The 25,293-nt window shown below is 37.3% G+C and overlaps 1 protein-coding gene across 14 annotated transcripts in view; it reads right to left on the bottom strand.

Moving 5' to 3' along the window:
- Positions 1-25,293, bottom strand: part of STXBP5L (syntaxin binding protein 5L) — a 516,557-nt gene that overhangs the window by 207,272 nt on the left and 283,992 nt on the right. For all 14 annotated transcript variants that reach the window (NR_145516.2, XR_924217.3, XR_001740373.2 and 11 more), the window contains one exon: positions 11,489-11,567. Coding sequence is in view for 11 of the 14 variants with exons in the window: in NM_014980.3 (NP_055795.1) it covers positions 11,489-11,567 (79 nt within the window). In the remaining 3 variants the exon portion in view is untranslated. The remainder of the gene's footprint in view (positions 1-11,488; positions 11,568-25,293) is intronic.

Genomic DNA, 25,293 nt, shown 5'->3' with positions numbered 1-25,293 from the left:
AGAAGCAGGGTGGGGCATCACCTCACCCGGGAAGTGCAAGGGGTTGAAGAACTTCCTCCCCTAGCCAAGGGAAGCCATGAGGGACTGTGCTGTGAGGAACAGTGCATTCTGGCCCATATACCACGCTTTTCCCATGGTCTTCGCAACCCGCAGACAAGGAGATTCCCTCCAGTGCCTACGTCATCAGGGCCCTGGGTTTAAAATGCAAAACTGGGAAGCCATTTGGGCAGACACCGAGCTAGCTGAAGGAGTTTCTTTTCATACCTCGCTGGCACCTGGAATGCCAGCAAGACAGAACCATTCACTTCCCAGGAAAGGGGGCTGAAGCCAGGGAGCCAAGTGGTCTAGCTCAGTGGATCCCAACCCCACAGAGCATAGCAAGCTAAGATCCACTGGTTTGAAATTCTCGCTGCCAGCACGGCAGTCTGAGGTCGATCTGGGAAGTGCCAGCTTGGTTGGGGGAGGGGCGTCACCATTACTGAGGCTTGAGTAGGTGGTATTGCCCTGACAGTATAAACAAAGCCACCAGGAAGTTCGACCTGGACAGAGCCCACCACAGCTCCACAAAGAGGCTGTAGCCAGAGGGCTTCCCTAGATTCCTCCTCTCTGGGCAGGGCATCTCTGAAAGACAGGCAGCAGCCCCAGTCAGGGCTTATAGATAAAACTCCCATCTCCCTTGGACAGAGCACCTGGCGGAGGGGTGGCTGTGGGCGCAGCTTAAGCCGACTTAAACATTCCTGCCTGCTGACTCTGAAGAGAGCAGCAGATCTCCCAGCACAGTGCTCGAGCTCTGCTAAGGGACAGACAGCCTCTTCAAGTGGGCCCTTGACACCCATGCCTCCTGATTGGGAGACACAACCCAGCAGTGATCGACAGACACCACATACAGGAGAGCTCCAGCTGGCATCTGGTGGGTGTCCCTCTAAGACGAAGCTTCCAGAGGAAGGAACAGGCAGCAATCTTTCCTGTTCTGCAGACTCCCGTGGTGATAACCAGGCAAAGAGGGTCTGGAGTGAACCTTCAGCAAACTCTAGCAAAACTGCAGCAGAGGGGCCTGACTGTTAGAAGGAAAACTGACAAACAGAAAGGAATAGCATCAACATCAACAAAAAGGACATCCACACAAAAACCCCATCCGAAGGTCACCAAGACCAAAGGTAAATAAATCCATGAAGATGAGACAAAAAAGTATAAAAAGGCTGAAACTTCCAAAAACCAGAAAGCCTCTCCTCCAAAGGATCACAACTCCTCACCAGCAAGGGAACAAAACTGGATGGAGAATGAGTTTGATGAATTGAAAGATGTAGGCTTCAGAGGTGGGTAATAACAAAATCCTCTGAGCTAAAGGAGCATGTTCTAACCCAATGCAAGGAAGCTAAGAACCTTGAAAAAAGGTTAGAGGAACTACTAACTAGAATAACCAGTTTAGAGAAGAAGATAAATGACCTTGGAGCTGAAAAACATAGCACATGAAGCATACACAAGTATCAATAGCCAAATTGATAAGTGAAAGAAAGGATATCAGAGATTGAATATCAACTTAATGAAATAAAGCATGAAGAAAACATTAGAGAAAAAAGAATGAAAAGGAATGAACAAAGCCTCCAAGAAATATGTAACTATGTGAAAAGACCAAACCTATGTTTGATTGGTGTACTTGAAAGTGACAGGGAGAATGGAACAGAGTTGGAAAACACTCTTCAGGATATTATCCAGGAGAACTTCCCCAACCTAGCAAGACAAGCCAACATTCAAATTCAGAAAATAAAGAGAATATCATAAAGATACTCCTAGAGAAGAGCAACCTCAAGACACATAATCGTCAGATTCACTAAAGTTGAGATGAAGGAAAAAATGTTAAGGGCAGCCAGAGAGAAAGGTCGGGTTACCTACAAAGGGAAGCCCATCAGACTAAACCAGTTCTCTCTGCAGAAACCCTACAAGCCATAAAAAAGTTGGGGCCAATATTCAACACTATTAAAGAAAAGAATTTTCAAACCAGAATTTCATATCCAGCCAAACTAAGCTTCATAAGTGAAGGGGAAATAAAATCCTTTACAGACAAGCAAATGCTGAGAGATTTTGCCACCACAAGGCCTGCCTTACAAGAGCTCCTGATGAAAGTACTAAATTTGGAAACAAAAAACTGGTACTAGCCATTGCAAAAACATACCATATTGTAAAGACCATAGACACTATGAAGAAACTGCAACAACTAATGGGCAAAATAACCAGCTAGTGTCATAATGACAGGATCAAATTTACACATAACAATATTAACCTTAAATGTAAGTGGGCTAAATGCCCCAGTTAAAAGACGCAGACTGGCAAATTGGATAAAGAGTCAAGACCCATCAGTGTGCTGTATTACGGAGACCCATCTTATGTGCAAAGACACACATAGGCTAACAATAAAAGGATGGAGAACTGTTTACCAAGCAAATGGAAAGAAAAAAAAAAGCAGGGGTTGCAATCCTAATCTCTGATAAAACAGTCTTAAACAAAGATCAAAAAAGACAAACAAGGGCATTACATAATGGTAAAGGGATCAATGCAAGAAGAAGAGGTAACTATCCTAAATATATATGCAACCAATACAGGAGCACCCAGATTCATAAAGTAAGTTCTTAGAGACCAACAAAAAAAAACTTAGACTCCCACACAATAATAGTGGGAGACTTTAACTCCCCACTGTCAATATTAGACAGGTCAATGAGACAAAAAATTAACAAGGCTATTCAGGACTTGAACTCAGCTCTGGACCAAGTGGACCTAATAGACATCTACAGAACTCTGCACCACAAATCAACAGAATATACATTCTTCTCAGTGCCACAATGAACTTATTCTAAAATTGATGACATAATTGGAAGTAAAACATTCCCCAGCAAATGCAAAAGAACAAAAATCATAACAGTCTTTCAGACCACAGTGCAATCAAATTAGAACTCAGGATTGAGAAACTCACTCAAAACCACAAAACAACATGGAAACTGATCAACCTTCTCCTGAATGACAACTGGGTAAATAATGAAATTAAGGCAGAAATAAATAATTTCCTTGAAACCAATGAGAACAAAGACACAATGTACCAGAATCTCTGGGACACAGCTAAATCAGTGTTTAGAGAGAAATTTATAGCACTAAATGCCCACAGGAGAAAGCAAGAAAGATCTAAAATTGACACCCTAACATCACAGTTAAAAGAACTAGAGAAGCAAGAGCAAACATATTCAAAAGCTAGCAGAAGACAAGAAATAACTAAGATCACAGTGCAACTGAAGGAGATAGAGACATGAAAAACCCTTCAAAAAAAATCAATGAATCCAGGTGCGGGTTTTTGAAAAGATTAACAAAATACATAGACAACTAGCCAGCCTAATAAATAAGAAAAATGAGATGAATCAAATAGACACAATAAAAAGTGATAAAGGGGATATCATCACTGATCCCACAGAAATACAAACTACCATCAGAGAATACTATAAGCACCTCTATGCAAATAAATTAGAAAATCTAGAAGAAATGGATAAATTCCTAACCACATATACCCTCCCAAGACTAACCCAGGAAAAACTCAAATCCCTGAACAAATAAGTTCTAAAATTGAGGCAGTAATTAATAGCCTACCAACCCAAAAAAGCCCAGGACCACATGGATTTACAGCCGAATTCTACCAGAGGTACAAAGAGGAGTTGGTACCATTCCTTCTGAAACTATTCCAAACAATAGAAAAAGAGAGACTCCTCCCTAACTCTTTTTATGAGGCCAGGGTCATCCTGATACCAAAACCTGGCAGAGACACAACAACAACAACAAAATTTCAGGCCAATATCCCTGATGAACATCAATGCAAAAATCCTCAATAAAATACTGGCAAACCGAACACAACAGCACATCAAAAAACTTATCCACCACGATCAAGTTGGCTTCATACCTGGGATGCAAGGTTGATTCAATGTATGCAAATCAATAAACGTAATCCATCACATAAATAGAACTAACTAATGACAAAAACCTCATGATTATCTCAATAGATGTAGAAAAGGCCTTTGATAAAATTCAACACCCCTTCATGCTAAAAACTCTCAATAAACTAGGTATTGAAACATATTTCAAAATAATAAGAGCTATTTATGAGAAACCCACAGCCAATATCATACTCAATGGGCAAAAGCTGGAAGCATTCCCTTTGAAAACAGGCACAAGATAAGGATGAGGTCTCTCACCACTCCTATTCAACATAGTATTGGAAGTTTTGGCCAGGGCAATCAGGCAAGAGAAAGAAATAAAGGGTATTCAAATAGAAAGGGAGGAATTCAAATTGTCTCTGTTTGCAGATGACATGATTGCATATTTAGAAAACCCCATTGTCTCAGCCCAAAATCTCCTTAAGCTGATAAGCAACTTCAGCAAAGTCTCAGGATACAAAACTAATTTGCAAAAATCACAAGAATTCCTATACACCAATAACAGACAGAGAGCCAAATCGTGAGTGAACTTACATTCACAATTGCTACAAAGAGAATAAAATACCTAGGAATACAATTTACAAGGGACATGAAGGACCTCTTCAAGGAGAACTACAAACCACTGCTCAAGGAAATAAGAGAGAATACAAACAAATGGAAAAGCATTCCATGCTAATGGATAGGAAGAATCAATATCACGAAAATGGCCACACTGCTCAAAATACTTTATAGATTCAATGCTATCCCCCTCAAGCTACCATTGACTTTCTTCACAGAATTAGAAAAAGCTACTTTAAATTTCATATGGAAGCAAAAAAGAGCCTGTATAGCCAAGACAATGCTAAGCAAAAAGAACAAAGCTGGAGGCATCATGCTACCTGACTTCAAACTATACTGCAAGGCTATAGTAACGAAAACAGCATGCTTCTGGTATCAAAACAGATATACAGACCAATGGAACAGAACCGAGTCCTCAGAAATAACTCCACCCATCTACAACCATCTGATCTTTGATGAACCTGACAAAAACAAGCAATGGGGAAAGGATTCCCCATTTAATAAATGGTGGTGGGAAAACTGGTTAGCCATATGCAAAAAACTGAAACTGGACCCCTTCCTTATACCTTATATAAAAATTAGCACAAGATGGATTAAAGACTTAAACTTAAGACCTAAAACCATAAAACCCTAGAAGAAAACCTAGGCAATATCATTCAGGATGTAGGCATGGGCAAACACTTCATAACTAAAATACTAAAAGCAATGGCAACAAAAGGCAAAATTAACAAATGGGATCTAATTAAAGTAAAGATCTTCTGTACAGCAAAAGAAACTATCATGAGAGTGAACAGGCAACCTACAGAATGGGAGGATATTTTTGCAATCTATCCATCTGACAAAGGGCTAATATCCAAAATCTACAAGGAACGTAAGCAAATTTACAAGAAAACAACAAACAACCTCATCTAAAAGTTGGCGAAGTATATGAATAGACACTTCTCAAAAGAAGACATTTATGCGGCCAAAAAACATGAAAAAAAGCTCATCAACACTGGTCATTAGAGAAATGCAAATCAAAACCCCAATGAGATACAATCTCATGCCAGTTAGAATGGCGATCCTTAAAAAGTCAGGAAACAGGCCAGCATGTTGGCTCACTCCTGTAATCCCAGCAGTTTGGGAGGCTGAGGCGGTCGGATCACGAGGTCAAGAGATGGAGACCATCCTGGCCAACATGGTGTAACCCTGTCTCTTCTAAAGTAAATACAAAAATTAGCTGGGAATGGTGGCACATGCCTGTAGTCACAGTTACTCAGGACGCTGGGGCAGGAGAATCGCTTGAACCCCGGAGGCAGAGGTTGCAGTGTGCTGAGATCACGCCACTGCACTCCAGCCTGGTGACAGAGCGAGACTCTGTCTCAAAAAAAAAAAAAAAAAAAGAAAGAAAAAAAGTCAGGAAATAAGAGATGCTGGAGAAGATGTAGAAAAAATAGGAATGCTTCTTTGAAAACTGGCACAAGACAGGGATGCCCTCTCTCACCACTCCTATTCAACATAGTGTTGGAGGTTCTGACCAGGGCAATCAGGCAGGAGAAAGAAAGAAAGGGTTTTCAATTGGGAAAAGAGGAAGTCAAATTGTCCCTGTTTACAGATGACATGATTGTATATTTAGAAAACCCCATCGTCTCAGCCCAAAATCTCCTTAAGCTGATAAGCAACATCAGCAAAGTCTCAGGATAAAAAATCAACGTTCAAAAATCACAAGAATTCCTATACACCAATAACAGACAGAGAGCCAAATCGTGAGTAAACTCACATTCACAATTGCTACAAAGAGAATAAAATACTTAGCAATCCAACTTACAAGGGATGTCAAGGACCTCTTCAAGGAGAACTTCAAACCACTGTTCAACAAAATAAAAGAGGACACAAACAAATGGAAGAACATTCCATGCACATGGGTAGGAAGAATCAATATTGTGAAAATGGCAATACTGCCCAATGTAATTTATAGATTCAATGCCATCCCCATCAAGCTACCAATGACTTTCTTCACAGAATTGAAAAAAACTACTTTAAAGTTCATATGGAACCAAAAAAGGTCCCGTATTGCCAAGACAATCCTAAGCCAAAAGAACAAAGCTGGAGGCATCACACTACTTGACTTCAAACTATACTACAAGGCTACAGTAACCAAAACAGCATGGTACTAGTACCAAAACAGAGATATAGACTAATGGAACAGAACAGAGGCCTCAGAAATAATACCACACATCTACAACTATCTGATCTTTGACAAACCTGACAAAAACAAGAAATGGGGAAAGGATTCCCTATTTAATAAATGGTGCTGGGAAAACTGGCTAGCCATATGTAGAAACCTGAAACTGGATCCCTTACTCACACCTTATACAAAAATTAATTCAAGATGGATTAAAGACTTAAATGTTAGACCTAAAACCATAAAAACCCTAGAAGAAAACCTAGGCAATACCATGCAGGACATAGGCAGGGGCAAGGACTTCATGTCTAAAACACCAAAAGCAATGGCAACAAAAGCCAAAACTGACAAATGGGATCTAATTAAACTAAAGAGCTTCTGCACAGCAAAAGAAACGACCATCAGAGTGAACAGGCAACCTACAGAATGGGAGAAAATTTTTGCAATCTACTCATCTGACAAAGGGCTAATATCCAGAATCTACAATGAACTTAAATTTACAAGAAAAAAACAAACAACTCCATCAAAAAATGGGCAAAGGGTATGAACAGACACTTCTCAAAAGAAGACATTTATGCAGCCAAAAGACACATGAAAAAATGCTCATCATCACTGGCCATCAGAGAAATGCAAATCAAAACCACAATGAGATACCATCTCACACCAGTTAGAATGGCGATCATTAAAAAGTCAGGAAACAACAGGTGCTGGAGAGGATGTGGAGAAATAGGAACACTTTTACACTGTTGGTGGGACTGTAAACTAGTTCAACCATTGTGGAAGACAGTGTGGTGAGTCCTCAAGGAGCTAGAACTAGAAATACCATTTGACCCAGCCATCCCATTATTGGGTATATACCCAAAGGATTATAAATCATGCTGCTATAAAGACACATGCACACGTTATGTTTATTGCAGCACTATTCACAATAGCAAAGACTTGGAGCCAACCCAAATGTCCATCAGTGATAGACTGGATTAAGAAAATGTGGCACATATACACCATGGAATACTATGCAGCCATGAAAAAGGATGAGTTCACGTCCTTTGTAGGGACATGGATGAAGCTGGAAACCATCATTCTCAGCAAACTATCACAAGGACAAAAAACCAAACACTGCATGTTCTCATTCATAGGTGGGAATTGAACAATGAGAACACTTGGAAACAGGAAGGGGAACATCACACACTGGGGCCTGTCATGGGGTGGGGGGAGAGGGGATGGATAGCATTAGGAGATATACCTAATGTAAATGATGAGTTAATGGGTGCAGCACACCAACATGGCACATGTATACATATGTAACAAACCTGCACGTTGTGCACATGTACCCTAGAACTTAAAGTATAATAATAAAATAAAAATAAAAAATAAAAAAACATAAAAAAATAGGAATGCTTTTACAGTGTTGTTGGGAGTGTAAATTAGTTCCACCATTGTGGAAGACATTGTGGCGATTCCTCAAGGATCTAGAACCAGAAATACCATTTGACCGAGCAATCCCATTTCTGGTTATGTATCCAAAGGATTATAAATCATTCTACTATAAAGACACATGCACATGTATGTTTACTTCAGCACTATTCACTATAGCAAAGACTTGGAACCAACCCAAATGCCCATCAATGATAGATTGGATAACGAAAATGTAGCACATATACACCATGGAATAATACTGTGCAGCTATTAAAAAAGACAAGTTCATGTCCTTTGCAGGGACATGGATGAAGCTGGAAACCATCATTCTCAGCAAACTAACACCGGAACAGAAAACCAAACACTGCATATTCTCACTCATAATTGGGAATCGAACAATGAGAATACATGGACATAGGGAGGGGAACATCACACACCGTGGCCTGTTGGGGGTTGTGGGGGTTGGGAGGCTAGGGGAGGGATAGCATTAGGAGAAATACCTAATGTAGATGATGGGTGCAGCAAACCACCATGGCACGTGTATAACTATGTAACAAACCTGCACTTTTTACACATGTATTCCAAAACTTAAAGTATAATAAACTATATATAATGTGAAAAAAACCCATAAAATAATACCACAAGCTGCTAGGAACAGTTAATATAGTGTCCTGCACCTTAATAATCCTTGAAGTGCAATACCACATAAGAAATATTGTAAATAATGTTGAACCTGAAAACTCAAGCAAAGCTTAAACTATAAGTAATATTTCAAGAGGCAAAATATATGTCATATATTTCATATTTCCATTAATAATGATTAAATTTGAAACTTTCTAATACTTTAGTTATAATGGTATAAAACAGTGGGTTTTTTTGTTATTAGTATTTTTTTACTATTACACTTTAAGTTCTAGGGTACTTGTGCACAACATCCAGGTTTGTTACATATGTATACATGCACCATGTTGGTGTGCTGCACCCATTAACTCCTCATTTACATTAGATATATCTCCTAATACTATCCTTCCCCCCTCCCCCCACCCCATGACAGGCCCCGGTGTGTGATGTTCCCCTTCCTGGGTCCAAGTGTTCTCATTGTTCAGTTCCCACCTATGAGTGAGAACATGTGGTGTTTGGTTTTCTGCCCTTGGGATAGTCTGCTGAGAATGATGGTTTCCAGCTTCATCCATGTCCCTACAAAGGACATGAACTCATCCTTTTTTATGACTGCATAGTATTCCATGGTGTATATGTGCCACATTTTCTTAATCCAGTCTATCACTGATGGACATTTGGGTTGGTTCCAAGTCTTTACTATTGTGAATAGTGCTGCAATAAACATACATGTGCATGTGTCTTTATAGCAGCATGATTTATAATCCTTTGGGTATATACCCAGTAAGGGGATGGCTGGGTCAAATGGTATTTCTAGTACTAGATCCCTGAGGAATCGCCACACTGTCTTCCACAATGGTTGAACTAGTTTACAGTCCCACCAACAGTGTAAAAGTGTTCCTATTTCTCCACATCCTCTCCAGTACCTGCTTTTTCCTGACTTTTTAATGATCGCCATTCTAACTGGTGTGAGATGGTATCTCACTGTGGTTTTGATTTGCATTTCTCTGATGGCCAGTGATGATGAGCATTTTTTCATGTGTCTGTTGGCTGTATAAATGTCTTCTTTTGAGAAATGTCTGTTCATGTCCTTCACCCACTTTTTGATGGGGTTGTTTGATTTTTTCTTGTAAATTTGTTTGAGTTCATTGTAGATTCTGGATATTAGCCCTTTGTCAGATGAGTAGATTGCAAAAATTTTCTCTCATTCTGTAGGTTGCCTGTTCACTATGATGGTAGTTTCTTTCACCAGACAGAAGCTCTCTAGTTTAATTAGATCCCATTTGTCAATTTTGGCTTTTATTGCCATTGCTTTTGGTGTTTTAGACATGAAGTCCTTGCCCACGTCTATGTCCTACATGGTATCGCCTAGGTTTTCTTCTAGGGTTTTTATGGTTTTAGGTCTAACATTTAAGTCTTTAATCCACCGTGAATTAATTTTTGTATAAGGTGTAAGTAAGGGATCCAGTTTCAGGTTTCTACATATGGCTAGCCAGTTTTCCCAGCACCATTTATTAAATAGGGAATCCTTTCCCCATTTCTTGTTTTTGTCAGGTTTGTCAAAGATCAGATAGTTGTAGATGTGTGGTGTTATTTCTGAGGGCTCTGTTCAAACAGTGTTCATTTTTATCAGTGAATGCATAGTAGGCTAAAGAGATATCTATATATAGATAAAATAACAGGTTAAAAATGAGCATAATTTTGTACTATTAAAATTTTAAAAGAGCAGTTATAAACAAACATTCAGTATACCTATGATACCAAGAAAACATTATAAAATGTTCATATTATTAATATAAACTAGGATTATTTAATTTGAATTAAAATAAATTTAATGTTTAGGCAAGATTTATTATGGTAATTCTCAATGAGTGTATTGCCACTAATTATTATTGCCAAGTAAAAGGAACTTGTTGATTTATAGGATATGGCTACTTTTTTTTCTTTTTGAGACAGAGTCTCGCTCTGTTGCACAGGTTGAAGGGCAGTGGCAGCATCTTGGCTCACTGCAACCTCCACCTCCTGGGCTCAAAGGATTCTTGTGCCTCAGCCTCCCAAGTAGCTGGGATTACAGGCACATGCCACCATGCCCAGCTAATTTTTTTGTGTATTTCTAGCAGAGGCAGGGTTTTGCCATGTTGCCCAGGCTGGTCTCGATCTCCTGACCTCAGGTGATCCACCCGCCTTAGCCTCCCAAAGTGCTGGGGTTACAGGCGTGAGGCAGGGCACCCAGCCGGATATAGCTACTTTAAACACAAAATAATATTTTACTAAATATTATTATTTTTGTATTTTTCAACACCTTAAAATTTAGTACTTTTTATTACATTAATATACACAACTTTATCTTTCGAACAAACTGTAATCTTCCAACTTCAGAATGTAAGATCTTAAAGTATAGACACTTGGTTATGTATTTAAGTCTTTCACATGCAATATTAACGGGCACATTGCTTCTGCTTAATAAATCCTGCTACTTGTAATATGCATGGCCAGAAGTCCTTTACTGTTAAAATTAATGTGTATAATACTTGTCTAAATGTTCATTAAGAATCCTGAAATAATTAACACTTGTAATTTATAATAATCATAATAATAATCATCAGAGATATGTCTATGAGACAAGTCAATTATGTTAATATTGAGGATTCAGTTGTCTTTACAATTTTGTAAAACTTTAAACAATATCTTAACATTAAAGGTCATCTGCATTTTTTGTCTCTGCTTCGTATCCCTCTTTCCCTAAAGTAAAAATGCATACCTGTTTTTGCAGGTCTTGTATTCTACTTTAAGAATTGGTTTACAAGATTCAGATTTTCTTCCTTCTCTTTGACTTTTTCCTAAAGAAAAAAAATATTTAATTGAATCTAATTTAAATTATATTCATCTGTAAGAATTAAAAAATTTGACTAAGGGAATTTAAAGATAAAGGAATAATAATGTTAATTCTATGTTTGTCATAATAGGATAAACTTATATCTATGAATCCCAATATTTTTGTTGAATTTGTAAACAATCTTTAGAGTTGCAATAATTGTCTGCTATATAATTCATAAAATTACCTGTAAAATTATATAACTTTTATCACTTTACATCCTTCACACATAAATCTAATTTCATGTGGAGTTATTTTAATTATTAAAGTTTGAAGACAAAATAAGTTTAGAATTGAAGACCACACATACATACTTATCTACATAATGAAATGTATTACTATTGCTATGGTTTGAATGTGTCCCCCAAAATTCATGTGTTGGAAACTTAATCCCCAATGCAACAGTATTGAGAATGAGACTTTTAAGAGGTGATTAGGACATGGGGGCTTTGCCCTCATGGATGAATTAATACAGTTATTGTGAGAGTGGGTTGGTTATCATGGGAGTGGGTTTCTGATGAAAGGATTAGATCAGCCCCCTTCCCTCTCTTGCACATCTCTCAACATGTGATACCTTCCACCATGTTATAACACAGTAAGAAGTCCCTCATCAGATGTTGCCCCTCAATCTTGGCCTTTACAGCCTCCAGAATCATAAGCCAAATAAACCTCTATTGTTTATACATTGCGTAGTGTGTAGTATTCTGTTACAGCAACATGAAACAGACTAGGACAACAATGACAATCCATACTAGGATCAATATTTTATCTATAATACATGCAAACTCCTTTCATACAGAGAAATACTTGCTATTTAAAGCATACAATGAACTATTAAAATTATTCTATCAAATACATTTTTAAAAACTTCCATTAGACAATGAACACAGATACTACATTTCATGATTTTTAAAAATCATTTTAATGATGTATTCATTTTGCATAAAACAAAAATGATAATTTCTTATAGGGGATGGGTTATTCTGTTTAGACTCCCTAAGATTTTGAATAAAGGATCAAAAAGAGAAGGAAATAGAAATGAAGCTACTTCTGCACATAACATGCTTATCTTTCTAGTTATGCTTTCAGTTTAATTCTTTCTCATTTTGGTTAAACTGGCTTGTGTTCTGAAATGCAATATTTGTTTCTTTTTTATTTTCAGTAAGTACCCTTATTTATTCTTGTATTACCACAGTTGTTTATCTATTACATAGATACCTATGTAATACATTATCTATTACATAGATACCTATGTAATACATTGTTTATCTATTACATATCTATTACATAGAAGTTTACATGCATATAGCTTTAAATTTTCAGATTAGCTTCAGAATAACATAAGCATATCCAAATAGGATATCAAGATAGCTTTATTCAACTTGTTTAAAGGGCAAGGAATTAACAAACAACAAATCAATATCTGCTGCTTGGCATGCTTTCTGAAATTGCCTTTTCTTTATTTTACCCTATGTTGACTAAAGAAGAAAAAAATAATAAAAAATTGACCATAATCATTCACACTGTACAAAAATATACATACTGTGCCATATGTAAAATAGAATTGCTAACATTATATGTAGATCATGATGTCTTAGAAAGAGAAAACTTTTGCTCAGGAACTTGTCTGAACAATAGTCTTTTTTTTTGAGACAGAGTCTCGCTCTGTCACCCAGGCTGGAGTGCAGTGGTGCGATCTTGGCTCATTGCAACCTCTGCCTCCTGGGTTCAAGTGATTCTCCTGCCTCAGCCTCCCGAGTAGCTGGAACTACAGGTGTGTGCCACCATGCCCGGCTAATTTTTTGTATTTTTAGTAGAGACAGAATTTCACCGTGTTAGCCAGGATGGTCTCAATCTCCTGACCTCGTGATCCACCTGTTCTCAGCCTCCCAAAGTGCTGGGATTACAGGCATGAGCCACCAAGCCCAGCCCTGAACAATAGTCTTAAGATTGAGAAATAGATGGTTGGAGATTACTGGCTTTGGTAATGATGTGGGAATAGAGAGAAATAAAAAAGTGACACAGCCAGGGGAGAGATCCACTCCCCTTAGTTTATATGTCTTTTCCATCCAGCACTTCACTAAATTGTCAAACCATTAATTGAACAAAACAGTATATTTGCAGTTGTTTGTACATATTAAAGCATTTTTAATCAATATACATCAGAGTCATCAATTGATTTCAGTGGGAAAGAATAATTATATAATTACTTGTTAAGTTAACATTTTCCTTCAATTTCCAACTCTACCAATTTATTCTTGGGAGAGAATTTTTGTGCTTTGATTATACTTATTGACTGTCACTAATTGAAACATGATTAAATGTCATGTTGTGTATCACAACATTATCGACAATTATATTTCTTACTATTCCTAACATTCAGAGTAGTGTACCAAGTGTTAGGGTATTAAACAACTGAATTCCAGAGGCTTAAAATTCACTGTATTAAAAAATAAGTAAAAATGACAATATGAAGTACTATAATGAAATGAGTGATAAGCATAAAGTGCTGTAGAGGTTGAGATTAAAACTGGTTTTACTGACAGGCCAATTTGACTAGATTAAAAGATTTGTGAAGGGAAATAGGGGAAATAATGTTAATGAGGTACAAAATAGCCAATCAATGGCAATCTCTAAACTTATTTTCAGTATAGACAATGGAGAGTTATGAGAAGCTTTCAAGTTAGGGAGTGATGAGTGTAAAGCAATGTTTCAAAAATATTAATGTGTCTTCATTTAATAGAGCAATTTTGAGGGTGTAAGAGACTGATGCTGGAAGAACACAGAGATTATTGCAATAGCACAGAAAAAAAAAACAGAAAAAAAGAATGAAGGAGTATGAACAATCTCAAAGAAATATGGAATACTGTTAATCACAAGAATATACATAATTGAAATAGAAGAAAAGGAAAGAAAGGAATACAAACATTTTTTAAAATAATGGTTGAAAACTTTCCTAAATTTGAAAAAAACATTATCTATGCTTTAAGAATTTCAATAAACTCCAAGTAGGATAAAGAAATCTCTACTCAGAAACATCCCAGTAAACATGCTTAAAAGAAAAAAAAATAAAACACCTTGAAAGCAGTGTGTACAAAAGAACCCTATTAAGATTAACAGCTAACTTTTAGAAACAATGGAGGCTGAAAGGCAATGGAATGTGATATGACATATTTAAAATAGTAGAAGAAAAAAAGTCTGCCAACCAAGAGTCTTATGTTGAGCAAAACTGTCTTTCAAAAATAAAGATGAAATAAAGATAATTTCAAGATAAACAAAAACTGAGAGAATTTGTTGATAACAGAGCTATCTTACAAAAAATACTAAAAAAAGTCCTTCAGGCTGAAAGAAAGTGACCCAGCAAGTAATTTAAGTCTACACAAAGAACAGAGTACCAGTAAAGGTAACTAGGTAGATAATTACAATGACATAATTGCATATGTATTCTCCAACCACCTCTTAACTGACTTAAAAATCAATTATATAAAACAATATGTATATAATTGTATTGTGAGATCTGTATATATATTTGCCAATAACAAGAAAAAGAAGGTGGGTGAGAGCAAAGCTGTATTGGAACAAGGAAAAGATACCAGTTGGTAATTTGAATCTACAGCAACAAATGAAGAAAACCAAAAATGATAAGCAAAAACATCAATGTAACAGATTCTGTGAATATATACTTGATCTACATTTTTTGTCAACATTCTTAAAAGACATACAATTATATAAGATTTAATAATAATTTAATTTAAATAATGTATTATTGGATTTGCAGCACATATAGATATAAAACATATAACAAAAAATTGGACAAAAAAAGGAGAAGAAGAGCAGAGCACAATGGCTGATTCCTGTAATCCCAGCAATTTGGGAGGCCAAGGTAGGTGGATCACCTGAGGTCAGGTGTTCAACACCGGCCTGGCCAACATGGTGAAACCCTGTCCTTACTAAAAATACAAGAATTAGCCAGGTGTGGTGGCACGTGCCGGTAATCCCATCTACTCGGGAGGCTGAGGCACGAGAATCCCTTGAACCCAGGAGGGGGCCAATATTCAACATTCTTAAAGAAAATAATTTTCAAACGAGAATTTCATATCCAGCCAAGCTAAGCTTAATAAGCACATAAATAAAATGCTTTCCAGACAAGGCAAATGTTGAGGGATATTGTCACCACCAGGTCTGCCTTACAAGAGCTCCTGAAGGAAGCACTAAATATGGAAAAAAAAAAACAACCAGTAACGGCCACTGCAAAAACATACAAAAATATAAAGACCAATGACACTGTGAAGAAACTGCATCAACTAATGTACAAAATAACCAGCTAGCGTCATAATTATAGGATCAAATTCACACATAACAATATTAACATTTAATGTAAATGGGCTAAAGTCTCCAATTAAAGACAAGACAGATAAATTGGATAAAGAATCAAGACCCATCGATGTGCTGCATCAGGAGACCCATCTCACATGTAAAGACATACTTAGGCTCAAAATAAAAAGATGGAGGAATATTTACCAAGCAAATGGAAAGCAAAAAACAGTAGGGGTTGCAATCCTAGTCTCTGATAAAACAGACTTTAAACCAACAAAGATCAAAAAAGGAAAAGAAGGACATTACATAATGGTAAAGGGATCAATGCAACAAGAAGTGCTAACTATCCTAAACATATATGCTCCCAATACAGTGGTATCCACATACTGGGATATGAGCCAATATACCACCCAGATTCATAAGACAAGTTCTTAGAGGACTACAGAGAGACTTGGACTCCTGCATAGCAATAGTGGGAGAATTTAACACCCCACTATCAATATTAGACAGATCAACAAGACAGAAAATTAACAAGGATATTCAGGACTTGAACTTGGCCCTGGACCAAGAAGACCTAATAGACATCTGCAGAACTCTCCACCACAAATCAACAGAATATACATTCTTCTCAGTGCCACATAACACTTATTCTAAAATTGACCACACAATTGGAAACAAAACACTCCTCAGCAAATGCAAATGAATGGAAATCATAACAAACAGTCTCTCAGACCACAGTGCAATCAAATTAGAACTCAGGATTAAGAAATTCACTCAAAACCACACAACTAATGGAAATTGAGTAACCTGCTCCTGAATGACTACTGGGTAAATAACAAAATTAAGGCAGAAATAAATAAGCTATTTGAAACCAATGAGAACAAAGAGAGAGACAACGAACCCAGAATCTCTGGGACACAGCTAAATCAGTGTTAAGAGCAGAATTTATAGCACTAAATGCTCACATCAGAAAGCAAGAAAGATAAAAAATCAACACACTAACATCACAATGAAAAAAACTAGAGAAGAAAGAGCAAACAAATTCAAAAGCTGGCACAAGACAAGAAATAACTAAGTTCAGAGTGGAACTGAAGGAGACAGAGACATGAGAAACTCTTCAAAAAATCAATGAATCCAGAAGCTGGTTTTTTGAAAAGCTTAACAAAATAGACTGCTAGCTAGACTAATGAAGAAGAAAAGAGAGAAGAATCAAATAGATGCAATAAGAAATGATAAAGGGGATATCACCACTGATCACATAGAAATACAAACTACCATCAGAGAATACTATTAGCACCTCTATGCAAATAAACTAGAAAATCTGGAAGAAATGGATAAATTCCTGGACACATACACCCTCCCAAGACTAAAACAGGAAGAAGTTAAATCCTGGAATGTACCAATAACAAGCTCTGAAATTGAGGCAGTAATTAATAGCCTACCAACCAAAAAAGTCCAAGAACGGATGGATTCACAGCCAAATTCTACCAGAGGTACAAAGAGGAGCTGGAACCATTCCTTCTGAAACTATTCCAAACAAAAGAAAAAGAGGCACTCCTCCCTAACTCATTTTGTGAGGCCAGCATCATCCTGATACCAAAACCTGGCAGAAACACAAGAAAAAAAGAAAATTTCAGGCCAATATCCCTGATGAACATCAATACAAAAATCTTCAATAAAATACTGGCAGACCAAATCCAGCAGCACATCAAAAAGCTTACCCACCAAGATCAAGTCGACTTCACCCCTGGGATGCAAGGCTAGCTCAACATACACAAGTCAATAAACATAATCCATCACATAAACAGATCGAATGACAAAAACCACATGATTATCTCAATAGATGCAGAAAAGGGCCTTTGATCAAATTCAACATCCTTTCATGATAAAAACTCTCAATAAACTAGGTATTGATAGAAGATATGTAAAAATAATAAAAGCTATTTATGAAAAACCCACAGCCAATATCATACTGAATGTGCAAAAGCTGGAAGCATTCCCTTTGAAAACTGGCACAAGACAAGGATGCGGTCTCTCACCACTCCTATTCAACATAGTATTAGAAGTTCTGGCCAGGGCAATCAGGCAAGAGAAAGAAATGAAAGGTATTCAGTTAGGAAAAGAGGAAGTCATATTGTCTCTGTTTGCAGATGACAAGATTGTATATTTAGAAAACCCCATCATCTCAGCCCAAAATCTCCTTAAGCTGATAAGCAACTTCAGCAGAGTCTCAAGATACAAAATCAGTGTGCAAAAATCACAAGCATTCCTATACATCGATAATAGACAAGTAGAGAGCCAAATCATGAGTGAACGCCTATTCATAATTGCTACAAAGAGAATAAAATACCTAAGAATACAACTTACAAGGGACGTAAAGGACCTCTTCAAGGAGAATGACAAACCACTGCGAGGTAATCAGAGAGCACACAAACAAACGGAAAAAAATTGTATGCTCATGGATAGGAAGAATCAATATTGTGAAATGGCCATACTGTTCAAAGTAACTTATAGATTCAATGAAATTCCAACAAGCTACCTTTGACTTTCTTTGCAGAATTAGAAAAATCTACTTTAAATTTCATATGGAACCAAAAAATAACCCGTATAGGTAAGACACTCCTAAGCAAAAAGAACAAAGCTGGAAGCATCACGCTACCTGAGTTCACACTATACTACAAGGCTACAGTAACCAAAACAGCATGGTACTGGAACCAAAACAGATATATAGACCAATGAAACAGAACAAAGACCTCAGAAATAATACCACACACCTACAACCATCTGATCTTCAACAAACTTGGCAAAAACAAGCAATGGGGAAGAGATTCCCTATTTAATAAATGGTGCTGGGAAAACTGGCTAGCGATATGCAGAAAACAGAAACTGGACCTACTCCTTACACCTTATACAAAAATTAGCTCAAGAAGAATTAAAGACTTAAATGTAAGACCTAAACACATAAAAAATCCTAGAAGAAAACCTAGGCAATACCATTCAGGACATAGGCATGGGCAAAGACTTCATGACTAAAACATCAAAAGCAATGGCAACAAAAGCCAAAATTGACATATGGGATCTAATCAAACTTATGAGTTTCTGCACAGCAAAAGAAACTATCATCAGAGTGAACAGGCAACCAACAGAATGGGAGAAAATTTTTACAAGCTATCCATCTGACAAAGGTCTAATATCCAGAATCTACAAGGAACTTAAACAAATTTACAAGAAAAAAAAACCATCAAAAAGTGGGAGAAGTATGTGAACAGACACTTCTCAAAAGACATTTATGCAGCTAAGAAAGATATGAAAAAAGGTTCATCATCACTGGTCATTAGAGAAATGCAAATCAAAACCACAATGAGATACCATCTCACGCCAGTTAGAATGGCTATTAAAGAGTCAGGAAAGAACAGACGCTGGTGAGTCTGTGAATAAATAGAAATGCTTTTACACTGTTGGTGGCAGTGTAAATTACTTCAATCAATGTGGAAGACAGTGTTTTGGTTCCTCAAGGATCTAGAACCGGAAACACCATTTGACCCAGCAATCCCACTCCTGGGTATATATCCAAAGGATTATAAATAATTCTACTATAAAGACACATGCATGCATATGTTTATTGCAGCACTATTCACAATAGCAAAAACTTGGAACCAACCCAAATGTCCATCAGTGATAGACTGGATTAAGAAAATGCGGCACATATACACCATGGAATACTATGCAACCGTAAAATAGAATGAGTTCATGTCCTTTGCCGGGACATAGATGAAGCTGGAAGCCATCATTCTCAGCAAATTTAAATAGGAACAGAAAACCAAACTCTCACTCATAATTGGGAGTTGGACAATGAGAACACATGGACCCAGGGAGGGGAACATCAAATACTGGGGCATGCTGTGGGGTAGGGGTGATGGGGAGGGAGAGTATTAAGACAAATACCTAATGCATGCGGGGCTTAAAACCTAGATGATGGGTTGACAGGTGCAGCAAAACACCATGGCACATGTATACCTATGTAACAAACCTACACATTCTGCCTATGTATCCCAGAACTTAAAGTAAATAAATAAATAAATAGAAATTAAATTTTTTAAAAATATTCATTTAATGTTAAAAAATCAGTAAAGGAGGAGTACAAGGAAAAAAGGCATGAACATATGGAAAATAAAAACTAAATTTACAGACATCAATCTAACAGTACCAACAATAACACTAAATGTGAATTGATTAAACATTCCAATCAAAAGGAAGATATAGTATGACTGCACAAAACAAGCAAATAGTATCCAACTATATGCTTTCTACAGGAGACACGCTTTGATCAAAGATACAAAAAAGTTTAAAGCAAACCATAAAAAAGGACATAACATGGAAATAGCAGCCGTAAGGAATCTTCAGTGGCTATACTAACATCTGACTGAATAACAAACGAAAGAAACGAAAAATACTTTGTGAAGAATGAAACGAAGATATAACATACTAAAAACTCCAGTATGCAGCTTAAGCAATGCTGAGAGGAAAATTTATAGCCATAAGCAAGTATGTTAAAGAAAGGAAAAGAGAAGAAAAGAAAAGAAAAAAAGGCTGAGCCCAGTGGGTTGCACCTGAAATCCCAGCACTTTGGGAGGCTGGGGTGGAAAGATTGCTTGAGTCCAGGGTATTGAGACCAGACTGGGCAACATAGGTAGACCCTGTCTCAATCAATCAATCAATCAATCAATCAATCAATAATCTGGGCATGGTAGCAAAGGCCTGTAGTCCCAACTACTTGAAAGGCTCGGGTGGGAGGATCACTTGAGCCAGGGAGGTTGAGGCTGCAGTGAGCCGTGATCCATGATCATGCCACTGCACTCCTGCCTGCGTGACAGAATGGGACCCTGTCTCAAAACAAGGAAAAAAGAAAACAAAATTACCTCAAATCAATATCCTCACCATTCACATTAAAATATAGAAAAATAAAAAAAACTAAACTGAAAGCAAACAGAAAAAAGGAAATAAAGATTATAGCACAAATTAATGAAGTATTAAAGAAAAAATATATACAAAAGCAAATAATCTAAAAGTTGGTTCTTTGAACACAGATAAAAGGAAAGACCTCCGTTTTTATGGACTGGGAGAATTAATATTGCCGGGTGCGGTGGCTCATGCCTGTAATCCCAGTACTTTGGGAGGTCGAGGCAGGTGGATTACCTGAGGTAAAAAGTTTGAGACCAGCCTGACCAACATGATGAAATCCCATCTCTACTAAAAATACAAAAAAAAATTAGCCAGGCATGTCATGGGAGGCTGAGGCAGGAGAATTGCTTGAACCCGGGAGGCAGAGGTTGCGGTGAGCCAAGATTGTGCCACTGCACTCCAGCCTGGGTGAGAGAGAAAGACTGTCTTAAAAAAAAAAAAAGAATTGATATTGTTAAAATCCCCATGCTATCCAAACTGATCTATAGATTCAATGAAATCCCTATGAAAATACCAAAGAAATACTCTACAGAAATAGAAAAAAAAAATCCTAAAATTCACATGAAACCACAAAAGACCCCAAATAGCCAAAGTACTATTGAACAAGAATAACAACGCTGGAGGCATCCCACTTTCTGATTTCAAAATATATTACAAAGTTAAGTGGGACTGAATCAAACTAAAAAGCATTTGCAGAGCAAAGAAAACAAGCAATAGAGTGACAAATGTGTCCCAGGGGGCAGGGCCAGGGCTTGGATCCTACTGTGTGCCCAGTCTCCTTCTCTTCCCTGCAGGTTCCACCATTCTCCCATCCTAATGGCATCATTAGGGATTGGAAAGCAGGTATTGTTGATGGGAACCAGGAGATTTGAGCTGTAGTCCTGTCCCCACTGCTCACTGACTTCGTCCTTGGATGAGTCACGCAATCTATTAGTTTACTAAAGCAGAAAATGTGATACACATACACACACTAATTCACTGAAATATTATTCAGCTTTTATAATAAAGTAAATCCTGACATTTATGACAACTTGGATGAACCTGGAGGATATTATGCTAAGTGAAGCAATTCAGACACAGAAAGACAAATATTGCATTATCTCACATATGCAAAAGTGGAAATACACTTAGAGAAAGTAGAATGGTGGTTGCGAGGGTGAAGCAGGGGAGGGGAGAAGGAAGAAAATGACAATTATGTGACGCGATGGATGTTAATTTATATAAAATATTGAGTTGTATACCTTAAATATATTCAATTTTTGTCTCATAATTCAATAAAGCTGGAAAAAAGCAGCTTCTTTGAAAAGGTCAAAACGGTTGACAAAACTTTAGCTAGGTTGACCAAGACAAGAAGAGAAACTAACATTATTATAATCAAGAGCAAAGGCCGGGCACGGTGGCTCACACCTGTAATCCCAGCACTTTGGGAAGCCGAGGTGGGCAGATCACGAGGTCAAGAGATCGAGACCATCCTGGCCAACATAATGAAATCCCGTCTAAATTTTGTATTAAAAAAAATACAAAAATTAGCTGGGCATGGTGGCGTGTGCCTGTAGTCTCAGCTACTCGGGAGGCCGAGGCTGAAGAATCACTTGAACGTAGGAGGCGGAGGTTGCAGTGAGCCAAGATCTCGCCACTGCACTCCAGCCTGGTGACAGAGCTAGACTTCATCTCAAAAAAAAAAAAAAAAAAAAAAAAAGAGTGAAAAGAGGGACCTATCTCAGAGAATTAAAAAGATTGTAATGGAGTATTATTAATAACAATATTCCAACAAATCAGATAACCTGTACAAAATGGATAAATTCCTAGAAAAACACAAACTATCAAAACTGACTTTAGAAGATATGAATAGACAAAACAAGTAATGAAATGAATTTGTAATTGGAAAAATCTCTCACAAAGAATAGCCCAGGCCCAGAGGGCTTCACTGTTGAATTCTACCCAACATTTGAGGAAGAATTAGTATCAATTTTTCACAAACCCTCCAAAAAAAACAGAAGAGGAGGAAACACTTCCCAACTCATTCTATGAGGCCACTTCTTATAGCAGTCTGTTATGTCCTCTAAATGTTAAACACAAAGTTACTTTTTTTTTTTCAAGGCAGGGAGTGCAGTGGCATGATCATAGCTCACTGCAGCCTGGAACTCCTGGGCTCAAGCAATCCTCCTGCCTAGGCCTCAAAAAGCACTGAAAAATAAATAAATAAAATATGATAAAATGGAATCTTATTCACCAATAAATAGGAATAAAGTACTCATACGACATGAATGAATCGTGAAAGAATTTTGTTAAGAGAAAAAAGCCAGTGACAAAATGCCAAATATTGTATGGTTTTATTGCTTTGAAATGACTATAACAAACAAATTCATACACACAGAGACTAAAGTAGTTATTGCCTAGGGTTGCAAGGTTTGGAGAGAAAGGGGAGTAACTGGTAATAGGTACGTGGTTTCTTTTTAGAGTAATGAAAATATCGTAACATTGATTTGGTGATGGTTACAAACTTCACTGAATATACTCAAAATCATTGAATCATATACTTTAAATGGGTAAATTGTAGGATATGTCATTTTATTTCAATAAAACATTTACTAAAGCAAGCATCTAAAATTTCTTTTTATTATTATTATTATTATTATTATATGTTAACTTCTAGTGTACATGTGCACAATGTCCAAGTTTGTTACATAGGTATACATGTGCCATGCTGGTTTGCTGCACTCATTAACTTATCATTAACATTAGGTATTCTCCTAATGCTATCCCTCCCCCTGACCCCTACCCCATGACAGGCCCCCATGCATGATGTTCCCTGTCCTGTGTCCAAGTGTTCTCATTGTTCAATTCCCACCTATGAGTGAGAACATACGGTGTTTGGTTTTCTGTCCTTGTGATAGTTTGCTGAGAATGATGGTTTCCAGCTTCATCCATGTCCCTGCAAAGGAAAATGGACTCATCCTTTTTTATGGCTGCATAGTATTCCATGGTGTATATGTGCCACATTTTCTAAATCCAGTCTATCATTGATGGACATTTGGGTTGGTTCCAAGTTTTTGCTATTGTGAGTAGTGCCACAATAAACATACATGTACATGTTTCTTTATATTAGCATGATTTATAATCCTTTGGGTACATACCCAGTAATGGGATGGCTGGGTCAAATGGTATTTCTAGCTCTAGATCCATGAGGAATCACCACACTGTCTTCCACAATGGCTGAACTAATTTAAACTCCCACTAACAGTGTAAAAGTGCTCCTATTTCTCCACATCCTTTCCAGCACCTCTTGTTTCCTGACTTTTTAATGATCGCCATTCTAACTGGTGTGAGACGATATCTCACTGTGGTTTTGATTTGCATTTCTCTGACGGCCAGTGATGATGAGCATTTTTTCATGTGTCTGTTGGCTGCATAGGTGTCTTTTTTTGAGAAGTGTCTGTTCATATCTTTGCCCACTTTTTGATGGGGTGGTTTGTTTTTTTCTTGTAAATTTGTTTAAGATCTTTGTAGATTCTGGATATTAGCCCTTTGTCAGATAGGTAGATTGTAAAAATTTTCTCCCATTCTGTAGGTTGCCTATTCACTGTGATGGCAGTTTCTTTTGCTGTGCAGAAGCTCTTTAGTTTAATTAGATCCCATTTGTCAATTTTGGCTTTTGTTGCCATTGCTTTTGGTGTTTTAGTTATGAAGTCCTTGCCCATGCCTATGTCCTGAATGATACTGCCTAGGTTTTCTTCTAGGGTTTTTATGGTTTTAGGTTTAACATTTAAGTCTTTAATCCGTCTTGAATTAATTTTTGTATAAAGTGTAAGGAAGGGATCCAGTTTCAGCTCTCTACAGATGGCTAGCCAGTTTTCCCAGCACCATTTATTAAACAGGGAATCATTTCCCCATTGCTGGTTTTTGTCAGGTTTGTTGAAGATGAGATGGTTGTAGATGTGTGGTGTTATTTCTGAGGCCTCTGTTCTGTTCCATTGGTCTATCTCTCTGTTTTGGTACCAGTACCATGCTGTTTTGATTACTGTAGCTTTGTAGTATAGTCTGAAGTCAAGTACCATGATGCCTCCAGCTTTGTTCTTTTGGCTTTGGATTGTCTTGGTAATGTGGGCTCTTTTTTGGTTCCATATGAACTTTAAAGTAGTGTTTTCCAATTCTGTGAAGAAAGTCATTGATAGCTTGATGGAGACGGCATTGAATCTATAAATTAACTTGGGGAGTATGGCCATTTTGATGATATTGATTCTTCCTATCCATGAGCATGGAATGTTCTTCCATTTGTTTGTGTCCCCTTTTATTTCCTAGAGCAGTGGTTTGTAGTTCTCCTTGAAGAGGTCCTTCACATCACTTGTAAGTTGTATGCCTAGGTGTTTTATTCTCTTTGAAGCAATTGTGAATGGGAGTTCACTCATAAT

This window comes from Homo sapiens, chromosome 3 (assembly GCF_000001405.40).
Source record: "Homo sapiens chromosome 3, GRCh38.p14 Primary Assembly".
Classification (NCBI taxonomy): Eukaryota; Metazoa; Chordata; class Mammalia; order Primates; family Hominidae; genus Homo; species Homo sapiens.
This window is presented reverse-complemented; position numbering and strand designations above follow the sequence as displayed.